The sequence below is a fragment of the Homo sapiens genome, chromosome 12 (assembly GCF_000001405.40).
Source record: "Homo sapiens chromosome 12, GRCh38.p14 Primary Assembly".
Taxonomy (NCBI): domain Eukaryota; kingdom Metazoa; phylum Chordata; class Mammalia; order Primates; family Hominidae; genus Homo; species Homo sapiens.
The window spans coordinates 56,788,104-56,806,014 of NC_000012.12; the positions used below are offsets into that span (position 1 = coordinate 56,788,104).

Here is a 17,911-nt window from a genome sequence, read left to right on the forward strand (position 1 = left end):
TTTTTTTACATCACTTTCCTGCCCATTTCCTTTATCCTTATAGTTTGAATATAATTTTATCACATTTCTGGTTAAATGAATAGTGTTTATATAATTAAGTATGTGAATATTATTAACTATTTAATCAAGTATTTTTCTTTTATAGTAACATTTTTTGTTTTTCTTGGAGTTAATTATTGCCTTGCTTTTTTGCTTGCAAAGGTTTTTATTTACCTTAACCTTTTTTTGGTTGTTCTCTCAGATCTGTCACTACCAGTAGTGTTCTCTAAATAATTAAATAGATTATAGACTTATTCAGTCTATTTCAACCCCCCAACCCTCCTGTCCCTGGAGATTTCCCTCTCACTGCTTTCTTTTTTTTTTTTTTTTCTAATTGATCATTCTTGGGTGTTTCTCGCAGATGGGGATTTGGCAGGGTCATAGGACAATAGTGGAGGGAAGGTCAGCAGATAAACAAGTGAACAAAGGTCTCTGGTTTTCCTAGGCAGAGGACCCTGCGGCCTTCTGCAGTGTTTGTGTCCCTGGGTACTTGAGATTAGGGAGTGGTGATGACTCTTAACGAGCATGCTGCCTTCAAGCATCTGTTTAACAAAGCACATCTTGCACCGCCCTTAATCCATTTAACCCTGAGTGGACACAGCACATGTTTCAGAGAGCACAGGGTTGGGGGTAAGGTCATAGATCAACAGGATCCCAAGGCAGAAGAATTTTTCTTAGTACAGAACAAAATGAAAAGTCTCCCATGTCTACTTCTTTCTACACAGACACGGCAACCATCCGATTTCTCAATCTTTTCCCCACCTTTCCCCCTTTTCTATTCCACAAAACCGCCATCGTCATCATGGCCCGTTCTCAATGAGCTGTTGGGTACACCTCCCAGACGGGGTGGTGGCCGGGCAGAGGGGCTCCTCACTTCCCAGTAGGGGCGGCCGGGCAGAGGCGCCCCTCACCTCCCGGACGGGGCGGCCGGGCGGGGGGCTGACCCCCCCACCTCCCTCCTGGACGGGGCGGCTGGCCAGGCGGGGGCCTGAGCCCCCCACCTCCCTCCCGGACGGGGCGGCTGGCCGGGCAGGGGGCTGAGCCCCCCACCTCCCTCCCGGACGGGGCGGCTGGCCGGGCAGAGGGGCTCCTCACTTCCCAGTAGGGGCGGCTGGGCAGAGGTGCCCCTCACCTCCCGGATGGGGCAGCTGGCCGGGCGGGGAGCTGAGCCCCCCACCTCCCTCCCGGATGGGGCGGCCAGCCGGGCGGGGGGCTGAACCCCCCCCACCTCCCTCCCGGACAGGACGGCTGGCCGGGCGGGGGGCTGACCCCCCCACCTCCCTCCCGGACGGGGCGGCTGGACGGGCGGGGGGCTGAGCCCTCCTCCTCCCTCCCGGACGGGGCGGCTGGCCGGGCGGGGGGGGGCTGACCCCCCCCACCTCCCTCCCGGACGGGACGGCTGGCCGGGCGGGGGGCTGACCCCCCTCACCTCCCTCCCGGAGGGGACGGCTGGCCGGGCAGAGGGGCTCCTCACTTCCCAGTAGGGGCGGCCGGGCAGAGGCACCCCTCACCTCCCGGACGGGGCGGCTGGCCGGGCGGAGGCGCCCCCCCCACCTCCCTCCCGGACGGGGCGGCAGGCCGGGCGGGGGCTGACCCCCCACCTCCCTCCTGGATGGGGTGGCTGCCGGGCGGAGATGCTCCTCACTTCCCAGACGGGGTGGCTGCTGGGCGGAGGGGCTCCTCACTTCTCAGACGGGGCGGCTGCCGGGCGGAGGGGCTCCTCACTTCTCAGACGGGGCGGCCGGGCAGAGACGCTCCTCACCTCCCAGACAGGGTCGCCGCCGGGCAGAGGTGCTCCTCACATCCCAGACGGGGTGGCGGGGCAGAGGTGCTCCCCACATCTCGGACGATGGGCGGCAGGGCAGAGACGCTCCTCACTTCCTAGATGGGATGGCGGCCGGGAAGAGGCGCACCTCACTTTCCAGACTGGGCAGCCAGGCAGAGGGGCTCCTCACATCCCAGACGATGGGCGGCCAGGCAGAGACGCTCCTCACTTCCCAGACGGGGTGGCGGCCAGGCAGAGGCTGCAATCTCGGCACTTTGGGAGGCCAAGGCAGGCGGCTGGGAGGTGGAGGTTGCAGCGAGCCGAGATCACGCCACTGCACTCCAGCCTGGGCATCATTGAGCACTGAGTGAACGAGACTCCGTCTGCAATCCCGGCACCTTGGGAGGCCGAGGCTGGCGGATCACTCGCGGTTAGGACCTGGAGACCAGCCCGGCCAACACAGCGAAACCCCATCTCCACCAAAAAAATATGAAAAGCAATCAGGCGTGGCGGCGCCCGCCTGCAATCGCAGGCACTTGGCAGGCTGAGGCAGGAGAATCAGGCAGGGAGGTTGCAGTGAGCCAAGATGGCAGCAGTACAGTCCAGCTTCAGCTTGGCATCAGAGGGAGACCATGGAAAGAGAGGGAGAGGGAGACTGTGGGAAGGGAGAGGGAGAGGGAGAGGGAGAGGGAGAGGTCTCACTGCTTTCTCCTCCTGTTTCTGTGTGGGCTGGCTGTTCTCTGGTTCTGCTACTCAATTATTTTTCTAGGACTTCCCTACATCTCTTTCCTGCTGTCTGAAATCCTGCTTCCTGGAGCATATGGCCTCTTGGTTTTCTCCTTTATTTTAACAGAACTCATTCTTACTAGCTAAGTCTTTGCATGTTTAAAAAGGTCTCTGTTGGCCGGGCGCGGTGGCTCACAGCTGTAATCCCAGCACTTTGGGAGGCTGAGGAGGGCGGATCACGAGGTCAGGAGATCGAGACCATCCTGGCTAACACAGTGAAACCCCCGTCTCTACTAAAAATACAAAAAGTTAGCCGGGTGTGGTGGCAGGCGCCTGTAGTCCCAGCTGCTTGGGAGGCTGAGGCAGGAGAATGGCGTGAACCCGGGAGGTGGAGATTGCAGTGAGCCAAGATCGCGCCGCGGCACTCCAGCCTGGGCGACAGAGTGAGACTCTGTCTCAAAAAAAAAAAAAAAAAGATCTCTGTTGGCCAGGCGTGCTCTGTTGGCCAGTCATGGTGGCTCACGCCTGTAATCCCAGCACTTTGGGAGGCCAAGCTGGGTGGATCACCTGCAGTTAGGAGTTCGAGACCAGCCTGACCAACATGGTGAAACCTCATCTTACTAAAAATACAAAAATTAGCTGGGTGTAGTGGTGGGCACCTGAAATCCAGCTACTCTGGAGGCTGAGGCAGGAGAATCGCTTGAGCCCGGGAGGTGGAGGTTGCAGTGAGCCGAGATCGCACCACTGCACTCCAGGCTGAGTGAGAGGGTGAGACTCCGTCTCAAAAAAAAAAAAAAAAGAGAAAAGGTCTCTGTTCTTATAATAGATTAGCTGAGCATGGACTTCTAGGGTTGAAAATAATTTTCTTTCAGGATTTTAAAGACATTGCTTCACTTTCTTATCGTATCCATTAAGAACCTTAATGCCATTCTGATTCTTGTTCCTTTGTTCCTTTTTGTCCCTATTCTATGGAAGGTTTTAGGCTCTATTTAGAAGATAAGTACATAAATGTTTATTTTATTTGGAATCTTTATCTTTTATTGCAGGTGTTCCAAAACTTCACAATGATGGACATAGGGGTAGCTCTTCTATTCAGTTATTGTACTGGGTACTTAGTACAAGTCATGATGTAGGAGAGAGATTGGAGAATTGCTAAAATGATGGCAAGGAGGTTGAGAGAGGATTCAGTTTGGTGCATAAGTGGGAGAACGGGCTTCAAATAGCATGACTTAAGTAAGAGTTTGTTTTCTTAGGCCAGGCACGGTGGCTCACGCCTGTAATCTACCACTTTGGGATGCTGAGGTGGGGGTGGATTACCTGTGGTCAGGAGTTTGAGACCAGCTTGGCCAACATGGCAAACCCTGTCTCTACTAAAAATACGAAAATTGGCCAGGTGCGGTGGCTCACTCCTGTAATCCCAGCACTTTGGGAGGCCGAGGTGGGCGGATCACTAGGTCAGGAGTTCGAGAACAGTATGGCCAACAAGGTGAAACCCCGTCTCCACTAAAACTACAAAAATTAACCAGGCATGGTGGCAGGTGCCTGTAATCTAGCTGCTTGGGAGGCTGAGGCAGGAGAATCACTTGAACCTGGGAGGCAGAGGTTGCAGTGAGCTGAGATCGTGCCACAGCACTCCAGCCTGGGTGACAGAGTGAGACTTCGTCTCAACAACAACAACAACAAAACAAAAAAATTAGCCAGGGGTGGTGGTACACACCTGTAATCCCAGCTAATCAGGAGGCTGATGCATGAGAATCGCTTGAACCTGGGAGATGGAGTTTGCAGTGAGCTGAGATCACAACACTGCACTCCAGCCTGGGTGACAGAGCAAGACCCTGTCTCAAAAAAAAAAAAAGAAAAAAGTTTGTTAGGTAATAGTAAATTAGCGGATAGGAGGTCACTGGCATTGCTTCAGTAACTCATCTCTGTCAGGATTAAACTCTATGTGCATCTTCTGGCCTTTTCTTCCAGCTTGTCACTTCAAGGTTGTAAGATGGTTGCTGCGGATCCAGACATCACTTTCAAGTGACACCATATAAGTCAACCTAAATAACAAAGGGAGGCTCTCTGAAAGAAAAAGACATTTATTTGGGAATAGAGTATTGCAATGAGAATATACCCGTCATAGTAAACTACGTGCATATTCAGGGAGGTAAAGGAAGACAAAGGTTTTTAAAGAAAAGAGGGAAATTGCACAATTGTTTTAAAATAATTATATTTGGCTACAAAGATCAATAACAAGGATGATGTCAGTCCAGGTTGGACAGGCAGTTCTGGGGCAGATGTTCTTGCAGTGTTTTTTATGGAAATTTCTGGTGGCTTCTGTGCAAGGATATGATTTTTCCAGAGTCTTTTTTGTGAGGCATACAAGCATAAAGAACCTTCTCTTCATGGCCTTCTATGGCTTGATTTGTCAGGGCTCTTCTTTCTTTAAACATTAGTGACTCCATTTTGATTCTGGCAACTTTCACACAAAAGAGAATGATGGTATAAGGGAGAATGGTGGTGATGTCTGCATCTATCATCTTCTATGAGGAGAACAAAAGATTTCTCAGAAATCCCCACAGCAGACTTTCCCCTATATGGGTGACCTCTATATGGGTTACTTTTGAGAGTGAAAGGAGGCACTTTTATTTATTTATTTTTTGAGTCAGAGTCTTGCTCTGTTACCCAGGCTGGAGTGCAGTGGCGCAATCTCGGCTCGCTGCAACCTCCATCTCTTGGGTTCACGTGATTCCTGTGCCTCAGCCTCCTGAGTATCTGGGATCACAGGCGTGTGCCACCATGCCCGGCTAATTTTTGTATTTTTCATAGAGACAAGGTTTCACCATGTTGGCCAGGCTGGTCTCAAACTCCTGACCTCAAGTGATCCATCCGCCTCAAACTCCCAAAGTGCTGGGATTACAGGTGTGAGCCACCGTGCCTGGCCAGGAGGCACTATTAATCATTTACACGGAACCCTGATTTTATCTTTACACATTATATGAATGTATCAAGTTATCCCCAAAATAAGTACATCTATTATGTATGAACACAAAAAATTAAAAAAAATTTACACAGGGATAACAAATATAAATGAGTACTGTCCTAGGTAAATCGAGATATCTGGTCACCCTGCTTTGATGTAATACCATTATCTAATCTTTAGTTCTTATATAAATTCTGCCAGTTGTTTGAAAAATGTTCTATATAGCAATTAAATTTTTTCCCCAGGATCAAATGCAGCATCTTACTTTGCATTCAATTGTCATGTTCCTGTTCTCACTTAATTTTGAATAGTTTAATTTCTTTTTCACAATTCTGTCTTTCACATTTCTGACATTTTTAAAGAGTGTGGGCCAGTTATTTTGTAAAGCGACCCCAAGTTGGATTGTATGCTGTGTCCTCATGATTAGATCCAGGATATGCATTTTGGCAGAAATGCCACAGAAGTGATATTGTGTCCCTCTCACTGCATCACGTCAGTAGCATAGATGTGTTTATCTCATTATTGGTGTTAATTGTGAATCCTTGCTTAGAGTCTGCCATGCTTCTCCACTGCAAAGTTAACATTTTTTCCTTTGTAATTAATGAGTAATTTGTGAGGCTATTTTGAGATTGTATAAATGTCCTGTTCCTCATCAAACTTTAACAAGTAATTTTTAGAATTACTAATGATTCTTATCTAAATCAGTTATTACTACGATGGTTGCAAATAGTGATTTCCAACTTCATCATTCCACCTATGTTTAAAAGGTGACATGTCTATCTCCTTTATTTTTTATTTAAGAATGGACTAATTGGCTGGGCGCAGTGGCTCACGCCTGTAATCCCAGCACTTTTGAGAGGCCGAGGTGGGGATGGATCACCTGAGGTCAGGAGTTCAAGACCAGCCTGGCCAACGTGGCAAAACCCCATCTCTACTAAAAATATAAAAATTAGCCGGGCATCATGGTGTGCACCTGCGATCCCAGCTACTTGGTAGGCTGAGGCACAAGAATCGCTTGAACCTGGGAGGGAGATGTTGCAGTGAGCTGAGATTGCGCCACTGCACTCCAGCAGAAAAGAATGGGCTAATTAATTCTTGTTTTATTCAATTAGTTATAAACCATTTCTATCACTATGTCTTGAAGCAAATCTCAGACATAATATAGAAACTAATTTTTAAAATGTTATAATTTGCAATAGCAACAACAAAAATATAAGGTACCTAGGAATAAATCTGACAGAATTTGTATAATACTGTGTCCGGAATTAGTGGGTTCTTGGTCTCACTGACTTCAAGAATGAAGCCGCGGACCCTCGCGGTGAGTGTTACAGCTCTTAAGGTGGCGCGTCTGGAGTCTGTCCCTTCTGATGTTCAGATGTGTTCGGAGTTTCTTCCTTCTGGTGGGTTCGTGGTCTCGCTGGCTCAGGAGTGAAGCCGCAGACCTTCACAGTGAGTGTTACAGCTCTTAAGGTAGCGCGTCTGGAGTTGTTCGTTCCTCCCGGTGGGCTCGTGGTCTTGCTGGGCTCAGGAGTGAAGCTGCAGATCTTCGAGGTGAGTGTTACAGCTCATAAAAGCAGTATGGACCTAAAGAGTGAGCGGTAGCAAGATTTATTGCAAAGAGTGAAAGAACAAAGCTTCCACTGTGTGGAACGTGACCCGAGCAGGTTGCCAATGCTGGCTCAGGCAGCCTGCTTTTATTCTCTTATCTGGCCCCACCCACATCCTGCTGATTGATAGAGCCGAGTGGCCTGTTTTGTCAGGGCGCTGATTGGTGTGTTTACAATCCCTGAGCTAGATACAAAAGTTCTCCACGTCCCCATCAGATTAGTTAGATACAGAGTTTCCACACACAGGTTCTCCAAGGCCCCACCAGAGCAGCTAGATACAGAGTGTCGATTGGTGCACTCACAAACCTTGAGCTAAACACAGGGTGCTGATTGGTGTGTTTACAAACCTTTAGCTAGATACAGAGTGCCGATTGGTGTATTTACAATCCTTGAGCTAGACATAAAGGTTCTCCACGTCCTCACCAGAGCAGCTAGATACGGAGTGTCGATTGGTGCACTCACAAACCTTGAGCTAAACACATGGTGCTGATTGGTGTATTTACAATCCCTGAGCTAGATATAAAGACTCTCCACGTCCCCACCAGACTCAGGAGCCCAGCTGGCTTCACCTAGTGGATCCCGCACCGGGGCTGCAGGTGGAGCTGCCTGCCAGTACTGCGCCGTGCGCTCGCATTCCTCAGCCCTTGGGTGGTCGATGGGACTGGGCGCCGTGGAGCAGGGGGTGGCGCTCGTCGGGGAGGCTCCGGCCGCACAGGAGCCCACGGAGGGGGTGGGAGGCTCAGGCATGGCGGGCTGCAGGTCCCAAGCCCTGTCCCATGGGAAGGCAGCCAAGGCCTGGCGAGAAATCGAGCGCAGCGCCGATGGGCCGGCACTGCTGGGGGACCCAGTACACCCTCCACAGCCACTGGCCCGGGTGCTAAGTCCCCCATTGCCCGGGGCCAGCAGGGCTGCCTGGCTGCTCCGAGTGCGGGGCCCACCAAGCCCACGCCCACCCAGAACTTCAGCTGGCCTGCAAGTGCCGCACACAGCCCCGGTTACCGCTCGTGTCTCTCCCTCCACACCTCCCTGCAAGCTGAGGGAGTGGGCTCTGGCCTTGGCCAGCCCAGAAAGGGGCTCCCACAGTGCAGTGGGGGACTGAAGGGCTCCTCAAATGCCACCAAAGTGGGAGCCCAGGCAGGGGAGGTGCCGAGAGCAAGTGAGGGCTCTGAGGACTGCCAGCACGCTGTCACCTCTCAATACCTTCCTGTAGAAAAGTATAAAACTGGCCGGGCGTGGTGGCTCATGCCTGTAATCCCAGCACTTTCGGAGGCTGAGGCGGGCAGATCATTTGAGTTCGAGACCAGCCTGGCCAACATGGTGAAACCCCGTCTCTACTAAAAATACAAAAGTTAGCCAGGCATGGTGGTGCATGCCTGTAATCCCAGCTACTTGGGAGGTGGAGACAGGAAAACTGCTTGAACCTGGGAGGTGGAGGTTGCAGTGAGCTGAGATTGCGCCATTGCATTCCAGCCTGGGCGACAGAGCAAGACTTGGTGTCAAACAAAACAGAAAAGTATAAAATTTTATTGAAGACATTAAGGCCTAAATAAGTGTAAACATATACAATACCCATGAATAAGGAGTCTCAATATCATAAAAAGATATATAAAATAATTTATAAATTTAGTATGGCTCCAATTCAATCAATCAAAATCCCAATAGCTTTTTTTTTTTTTGCAATTTGAGAAGGTGATTTTCAAATTTAATTGGGAGAGCAAAAGGGCAAACAGAACCAAGACAATTTTGAAGAACAAGGTGAGGGAAACTTGCCTCCCCAAACATTAAGACTTGCAGTAAAACTGTAGTAACATAAACAAATAGGTGCAAGGTAAACATAGACAAATAGATGTAAGCAATAGAGTGGAAAGGCCGGGTGCAGTGACTCATGCCTGTAATCCCAACCCTTTGGGAGGCCAAGGTGGCCGATCACCTGAGGTCGGGAGTTTGAGACCAGCCTGGCCAACATGGTGAAACCGTGTCTCTACGAAAAATACAAAAATTAGCTGGGTGTGGTGGCACACACCTTTAATCCCAGCTACTCAGGTGTCTGAGGCACGAGAATTGCTTGAACCTGGGAGGTGGAGGTTACAGTGAACCAAGATTGTGCTATTGCACTCCAGCCTGGGCAACAGAGTGAGATTCTGTCTCGAGAAAAAAAAAAAAAAAGAATAGAATGGACATACATGAAAACTTGATATGACAGTGGGAGGAAAATGAGGTGGTGGGGAAATGACCCAATAAATGGTGAGAGGACAACTTTTAAAAAACAGAGAATTATAAAATTAGATACTTATCCCATACCAGGCACAAAAACAAATCCCAATGCAATAAATACCTAAATGTGAAAACCAAAACTTTAAAAGATTTAAAATAAAACATTGAGAATATATTTATGTCTTTAGAACAGGGAAGCCTCTTGAAATAAGGTACACAAAACTTAATCATAAAGGAAGATTGTTAAATTTGACCAAAATTAAGAACTTCTCTACATCAAAATACCCCTTAACTTAGAGCAAAAAGACAAGCCACCAGCTGGGCAATATATTTGCACCATAGATAACCACAAGGTTTTATTGTTAAGAAAAAGAATTTGGGCCAGGCGCAGTGACTCACGCCTGTAATCCTAGCATGTTGGGGAGGCTGAGGAGGGCGGATCACGAGGTCAGGGGATAGAGACCATCCTGGCTAACATGGTGAAACCCTGTCTCTACTAAAAAGACAAAAAATTAGCCAGGTGTGGTGGCAAGCGCCTGTAGTCCCAGCTACTAGGGAGGTTGAGGCAGGAGAATGGCGTGAACCCGGGAGGTGGAGCTTGCAGTGATCCAAGATTGCACCACTGCACTCCAGCCTGGGCGACAGAGCAAGACTTCGTCTAAAAAAACTGAAAAACAACAAAAACAAAAAAATAGAAATTGTAGGCCGGGTATGGCGGTGTACACCTGTAATCCCAGCACTTTGGGAGGCTGAAGGAGGTAGATCACCTGAAGTCAGGAGTTCAAGACCAGCCTGGCCAACATGGCAAAACCCCATCTCTACTAAATACAAAAAATTAGCCAGATGTGGTGGCTCATGCCTGTAATCCCAGCTACTTGGGGGGGTGAGGCAGGAGAATCACTTGAACCTGGGAGGCGGAGGTTGCAGTGAGCCGAGATTGCCCCATTGCACTCTAGCCTTGGCAACAAGAGAGAAACTCTGTCTCAAAAAGAACAAAGCTGGAGGCATAACGCTACCTGACTTCAAATTATACTACAAGGCTACAGTAACCAAAACAGCATGGTACTGGCACCAAAACAGATATATAGACCAATGGAACAGAACAGAGGCCTCAGAAATAACACCACACATCTACAACCATCTGATCTTTGACAAAGTGACAAAAACAAGCAATGGGGAAAGGATTCCCTATTTAATAAATGGTGCTGGGAAAACTGGCCATATGCATTTCTAGCCATACACAGAAAACTGAAACTGGACCCCTGCCTTACACCTTATACAAAAATTAACTCAAGATAAATAAAGACTTAAATGTAAAACCTAAAACCATAAAAACCCTAGAAGAAAACCTAGGCAACACCATTCAGGACATAGGCATGGGTAAAGACTTCATGACTAAAACACCAAAAACAATTGCAACAAAAGCCAAAATTGACAAATGGGATCTAATTAAACTAAAGAGCTCCTGCTCAGCAAAAGAAACTATCATCAGAGTGAACAGGCAGCCTACAGAATGGGAGAAAATTTTTGCAAACTATCCATTTGACAAAGGTCTAATATCCAGAATCTACAAGGAACTTAAACAAATTTACTTAAACAAAAGAAAAAAAACTCAATCAAAAAGTGGGCAAAAGATATGAACAGACACTTCTCAAAAGAAGACATTTATGCGGCCAATAAACATATGAACAAAACCTCATCATCACTGGTCATTAGAGAAATGCAAATCAAAACCACAATGAGATACCATCTCACACCATTTAGAATGGCGATCATTGAAAAGTCTGGAAACAGATGCTGGAGAGGATGCAGAGAAATAGGAACGCTTTTACACTGTTGGTGGCAGTGTAAATTAGTTCAACTATTGTGGAAGTCAGTGTGGTGATTCCTCAAGGATCTAGAACCAGAAATACCATTTGACCCAGCAATCCCATTACTGGGTCCCAAAGGATTATAAATCATTCTACTATAAAGACATGCACACGTATGCTTATTGCAGCACTATTTACAATAGTAAAGACTTGGAACAAACCCAAATGCCCACCAATGATAGACTGGATAAAGAAAATGTGACACATATATACCACGGAATACTATGCAGCCATAAAAAAGAATTTCACGTCCTTTGCAGGGACATGGATGAAGCTGGAAACCATCATCCTCAGCAAACAAACACAGGAACAGAAAACCAAACACCATATGTTCTTATTCATAAGTGGGAGTTGAACGACGAGAGCTCATGGACACGGGGAAGGGAACATCATACACTGGGGCCTGTTGGGTGTGGGGGGCAAGGGAAGGGAGAGCATTAGGACAAATACCTAATTCATATGGGGCTTAAAACCTAGATGATATGTTGATAGATGCAGCGAACCACCATGGCACATGTATACCTATGTAACAAACCTGCACTTTCAGCACATGTATCCCAGAACTTAAAGTAAAAAACAAAACAACACAAAACAAAAAAACCCAAAAAAACTACAGTAACAACATATAATTTAAAAAAAAGAAATAGAATTTGTATACATTTATTAGCAAAACAAATCTTCATAGAAAATTGGACAGACGAACAGAAAGTCAGAATGGCCAGTAAACATAAAAATATGCTAATTTTCACTAGTAGTCAGGTAAATGCAAAGTAAAACCACAGTGAGATACAATTTTACATTATTCATAGTGGCAAAAAAAAGTCAGCCAATACCATGAATAAAGCTCTAAACCAAAGTGCAGCTTAAACACTTCTGGGGCAAGTGTGAATTTGTACAACCACTTCTGTAAGCAATTCGGAAAATATCTGTTAAACTTGAAACATGTTTGCCCTATGACCAAATAATTGCAATCTCAGATACAGGTGGTAGATGTACATGTACACAAGAAGACTTGTACATGAATCTTCATTGCTCTATTTGAATCATAATAAACTGAAAACAATGTATATGCCCATTCATAGGAGAATGAGTAACTTGTAGTATGTTCATGCAACAGTTGGTCCTTTGGTCTGTTTACATCTAACTATTATCTATCCATCCTGTTCATCCATGTATCCTTTTTATATGATGGTTAACATGAATGAGGTTGATTTGCATTTATCAATGTGGGTAAAGTTAATAACATAATGAATGAAAAAGTAAGTTGCAGAACATGTGAATAGTGGTATGACATTTTGCTTAAAATGTTAAAATTTGGCTGGGTGTGGTGGCTCACCCCTGTAATCCCAGCACTTTCGGAGGCCTAGGTGGGTGGATCACTTGTGGTCAGGAGTTCGAGACCAACCTGACCAACATGGTGAAACCTTGTCTCTACTAAAAATACAAAAATTAGCTGGGCATGCTGGTGTGCCTGTAATCCCAGCTATTTGGGAGGCTGACGCAGGAGGATCCTCTGAACCTGGGACGGGGAGGTTGCAGTGAGTTGAGATCATGCCACTGCACTCTAGCCTGGGCGACAGACCAAAACTCCATCTCAAAAAAAAAAAAGTTAAAACTTGCAGGAAGTGCTACATATTGTTTATGGATATATATGTATATAGTAAAAGTACTAAAATATTTTTGAGAATGAGAGACTGATAAACATCAAATTGTTGGCAGTAGTTACCTTTGGGGATTGAGGAGGGATATTGGAGATGTTAACTGAAGTAATGTATTTTTTTGAGACGGAGTCTTTCTCTGTCACCCAGGCTGGAGTGCAGTGGTGTGATCTTGGCTCACTGCAACCTCCGCCTTCTCGGTTCAAGCGATCCTCCTGCCTCAGGCTCCTGAGGATCTGGGACTATAGGCACATGCCACCACATCTGGCTAATTTTTGTATTTTAATTTTGTATTTTTAGTTCGAAGTCTCGAACTCCTGACCTCAAGTGATACTCCTGCCTTGGCCTCCCAAAGTGCTGGGATTACAGGCATGAGCCACCACGCTGGCCTTTTTTTTTTTTTTTTTTTAACTTTTAGGTTCAGGGGTACATGTGCAGGTTTGTTATATAGGTAAACTCATGTCAGGGGGTTTTGTTGTACAGATTATTTCATCACCTTATGGGTTAGATACATCAGTATAGGTGATAATCAATATTGTCTATAATATTTTGTATTCTTCAAATATTTAATAATAAAAATAAAATGTCATGGTCTGTGTAATCTCTATAGGAACTACTTTACACACATATTACTATACCTTATATAAAACAGTAAAAAGCACTTGTTGAATTAAAAAATAAACTATATATTTTCAATAGGGACTAGTAATTTAAATCTGCTTTTCTATGTTCTCATTGTTACCTAGCAAGAAATGGCTTGCTGCCTGATATGCATAAAAGCCAATACTATTGCACCAGCTTTTGAGAAAACAAAGCTTTATTGCAAATTGACTGGCCACAAGACAGGAGGCAATGTTCAAATTTGTCTTTCAAGCTGGAGTCTGAAGATGGTAATGAGGCATGATCTGATTGGATCTTGCAATGCAGTAATGCCAGGAGGCATGATCTGATTGGATCATGCCATGGGATGATGCCAGGGTTCAATCTGATTGGATCATGGATCATGCCATGAAGTGTCCTCTTGCTTTTTTTTTCTTTTTTTGTTGAGATAGGGTCTTGCTGTGTTGCCTAGGTTGGTCTCAAATTCATGGCCTCAAGAAATCTTCACACCTCGGCCTCCCAAAGCACTGGCATTACAGGTGTGAGCTACTCTGCCTGGCCTGGTGTCGACTTCTTAATTCCATCCCCTTTCCTTGGTTCAGGCATTTAGATGCTGCCCATGGTTGCATTCTTGGTTCACCTGGGCACACTCAGTTTATATAACTTGCAACCTGGGGTCAATAGCAATTGAAAAACAACACATTATTTTATTATACAAAGTGGAACCAGATTGCGCTAATTTTGAGGGTAATGGATATTGCTGGGAAGTTTCTTGTGGCCAAACACTGTTTTAAAGAATTTTTTTCAAGCTGATTATTAACAGGAAGACCTTTTAATCCTGCCAACTGATCTAAGTAAAGTGTAGAATGTTTGGAGGGCATCGGCATTACGAAAGACCTTAGTCCTTGGGAAGAAATGAATAAATGTGTCAATAAAATTTTAACCTAGATACAAGATCTTGTACCTAGTAGTTATTCAATAAATATTTGCTGAATGAAGCAAACACAGAAAATATAAAATTATGTGAAGTGTAAAGTCTGTTTTTCTGATGCTTTGTGAGGGAGAGATTATTTTTAAAATGTATTTATTTATTTTTAACTTTTTAAAAATTAAACTTTTTTTCTTTTCTTTTTTTTGAGACAGGGTCTCATCTTGTCACCCAGACTGGAGTGCAGTGGTGTAGTCTCAGCTCAGTGCTCACTGTAGCCTTGACCTCCCAGGTTCAAGCAATCCCCCTGCTTCAGCCCCCAAAGTTGTTGGAACTACAGGCACACACCACCACACCCGGCAACTTTTTGTATTTTTTGTAGAGATGGGGTTTCACCATGTTACCTAGGCTGGCCCCAAATTCCTGGGCTCAAGCAATTAACTTGCCTGGACCTCCCAAAATGCTAGGATTACAGGCATGAGCTACCATGCCCAGCTTACTTTTAACTTTTATTTTAGTTCAGGCTGGGGTACATGTGCAGGTTTGTTAATACAGGCAAACGCATGTCATGGGTGTTTGGTGTACAGACCATTTTGTTACCCAAGTACACTAAGCATAGTACCTGATAGCTATTTTTCCTGATTCTCTTTCTTCCTCCCTCCTGCGTCCCTCAAGCAGGCCCCAGTGTCTGTTATTCCCCTCTTTGTGCCCATGTGTTCTCATTATTTAGCTCCCACTTATATGTGAGAACATGCAGTATTTGGTTTTCTGTTCCTGTGTTAGTTTGCTAGGGATAATGACTTCCAGCTTCATTCATGTTCCTGCAAAGGACATCATCTCGTTCTTTTTTACAGCTGCATAGAATTTCATGGTGTATATGTACCACATTTTCTTTATCCAGTCCACCATTGATGGGTATTTAGGTGGAATCCATGTCTTTGCTATTGTGAGTAGTGCTGCAGTGAACATTAATGTGCATGTGTCTTTATGGTGGAATGATTTATATTCCTCTGGGTATATACCCAGTAATGAGATTGCTGGGTTGAATGGTAGTTCTGAATTCAGTTCTTTGAGGAATTGCCTTACTGTTTTCCACGATGGTTGAGCTAATTTACATTCCAACCAGCAGTGTATAAGCATTCCTTTTTCTTGGCAACCTCGCCAGCATCTGGTATTTTTTGACTTTTTAATAATAGTCATTCTGACTGGTGTGAGATGGTATCTCATTGTATTATGGGATCTTTGGGGTGTTGTTTTTCTAGCCAGGAACCTCTGTGGCTGGTGGCCCCTGTGCCCGAGTTTTGCTCGGGCCCACTGGGCTTGTTTCACCTACTCAGCCTGGCAGGCTGTGTTTGGCTCACCCTACTGGCCTGGGACCCATGCCTGCCAAGGGTGAGTCAGGCATGGAACAGTGAGGAGTGTGTGAGTGAGTGTGGGATCCGGCCACTGTGCACAGTCAGACGTACCAGCTGCCGCAGTGGGCCGGGCAGCTCCAGGTGCTGGCATGGGCTCTGGCTCTCTGTGAGGCTGCAGCTAGACCAGGCACACTGCAAGCAGCTTCTACGGCTGGCACTGGAGGACACATTGGCACCCAGAAGCTCGGAGATGCCAGGAACCACAGGGCCCCAAAATAGGAGTCACAGCCCTGGTCTGGGGAACTCCCAGGTCTGGGTTCCCCAAAGGGCTGCAGCTCTTCTTTTCTTCTCTTTGCCCACAATGAGGCAAGCAAGGGGCATGTCTCAGCCCTGTTTGTGTTACAGCTCTTTTATCCTTGCCATTCAGTGGGTCCTGAGTTCTTGTCCTGTGACCAGGAAGAATGAGGTAGGCAGAAAAGAGGAGAGTGAGTAAGATGAAGGGGAGCTTTATTGAGTGATAGAACAGCTCAGAGGAAACCTGCAGGGGGCAGCTACTTTCTGCAGCCAGGGTGTCTTGATGAGTGTTCAGCTCCTAGCAGAGAGGGTAGCTCCTCTCTGCTAGGCAATTCATCCTGACAAGTGTTCAGGTATCAGCAGAGAGAGTAGCTTTTGTCTGCAGGCAGGTCATCCCAACATCTGCTCAGCTCTGGCTGAACCCAGGGCTTTTATGGGCCTCAGAGGGGAGGAGGTGAGCACTGATTGTTCCATGGGCAGCCATGGATGGGCCTGGAAAAGACACCACAAGTTTCCACTGCAGTCTATGGGAGCAGCAGCCTGGCCCCCAGCCTTCAGGCCCTCCCTGGCCTGAAGGTGGGGCCTCACGTGGGACCCACTCCCTTCCCCCCAGGAACCTGTCTGCCTCCTGCTGCCATTCATGGCACCCAGGCTGTACGTGCCAAGGGGCACCTGCAGGCCAGTGCCAAACTGCCCTTATCACCCCCTCAGCTTCCCTCCTGTGCTCTTTGGCACCCAAGGTCCAGAGGCGGGCTGAAGTGGCAGGGGGCTGGTGTGTCAACACTTCCCTGAGCATGTACACACCTGGCTGGGCTGTGACAGAGCTCAGGCTTGACCATGACTTTGCTCTTAGATCGGAGTGGGTACCGACAGCAGGGAGAAGCCAGGCGGCAGGAGCAGGCACTTCCAAGCCTGTGAGGGCAGGGGGAGAGGACCATCCTGGGTCTCCAAGAGTGCAGGGATGCCTGGGTTCACAGCCACAGTTTGGGTGTCTGCAGCTGCATCCAGGGGGTGGGGGTCCTGCTCTGTGGAGTGGGAGGTCATGCTCTGCAGTCACGACTTGGGTGGCTGCAGCCACGCCTAGGAGGACAGGGCTCCTCCCTGCTCCCAGCACCCCCAAGAGCACAGGGAGGCCTGGGTCTGCAGCCATGACTTGGGCAGCTTAACCTGTGCCCCAGGGGGTGGGGCTTCTTCTTGCTCTGTGCTTTGGGAGGCCCAGTTTGCAGCCATAACTTGGGCAGACTTGTGTCTGCACCTGGGGAGCTCCCACCCTAACAAATCAGAAGGGGCAGGGCTCCCACTTGTCTGAGGCTCCCACCAGCTGCATGGAGTATACAGCTCTGGCTGTACCTCCCTGCTGCAGCCTGTGTGATGGCAGCGGCCACTCTAGATGGCCCACCACTGCCATCAATCACCACTCTGTAGAGGTACATCTAACTGCCGTTAGGATAGGGACAGTGACCATTCTTAACTGCTTCATGCTGACAGGGGGCATTGTTTTTGGGAAAATGGCAGTCAGGTTTTCTCTCAGGGGCCTATATAAGGGTCTCCAGTAAAAGGGAGCCATTGTCCGAGGCTCCATTTGCATGACCATTGGAGTTTGACGGCCCATCCTTTTTGTTTCTTCTGAGCTGCAGTCAGAGATCACTGGTTGGTTCACCCTCACAACTGTCAAAAGCTACAAATATCTCAAAAGGAAAGCTTCCTTGATTCTGAAAAACAAAACGAAGGATCATCAATGGTTCAAGCAAAATGTCAAAAAAGATTACTTCAGTCTTCTGTTAGTTCCGTTCACTCAAAGAAACTCCTGTTCACAATCTCCAAAATTATCAGAAACCTTGGGACAAAAAGGTGCCTCAAGAGGGTGTATGGGCCCATTAAATTAG

General features: G+C 47.1%; 1 annotated feature.

Annotated features, from left to right (window-relative positions):
• Positions 16,567 to 17,216: an enhancer, noted in NCBI's record as "H3K4me1 hESC enhancer chr12:57198454-57199103 (GRCh37/hg19 assembly coordinates)". NCBI's record gives its function as "activates a minimal SCP1, AML or CMV promoter by ChIP-STARR-seq in naive H9 embryonic stem cells {active_cell/tissue: H9 hESC(naive)}" and the evidence as "EXISTENCE:reporter gene assay evidence [ECO:0000049][PMID:30033119]".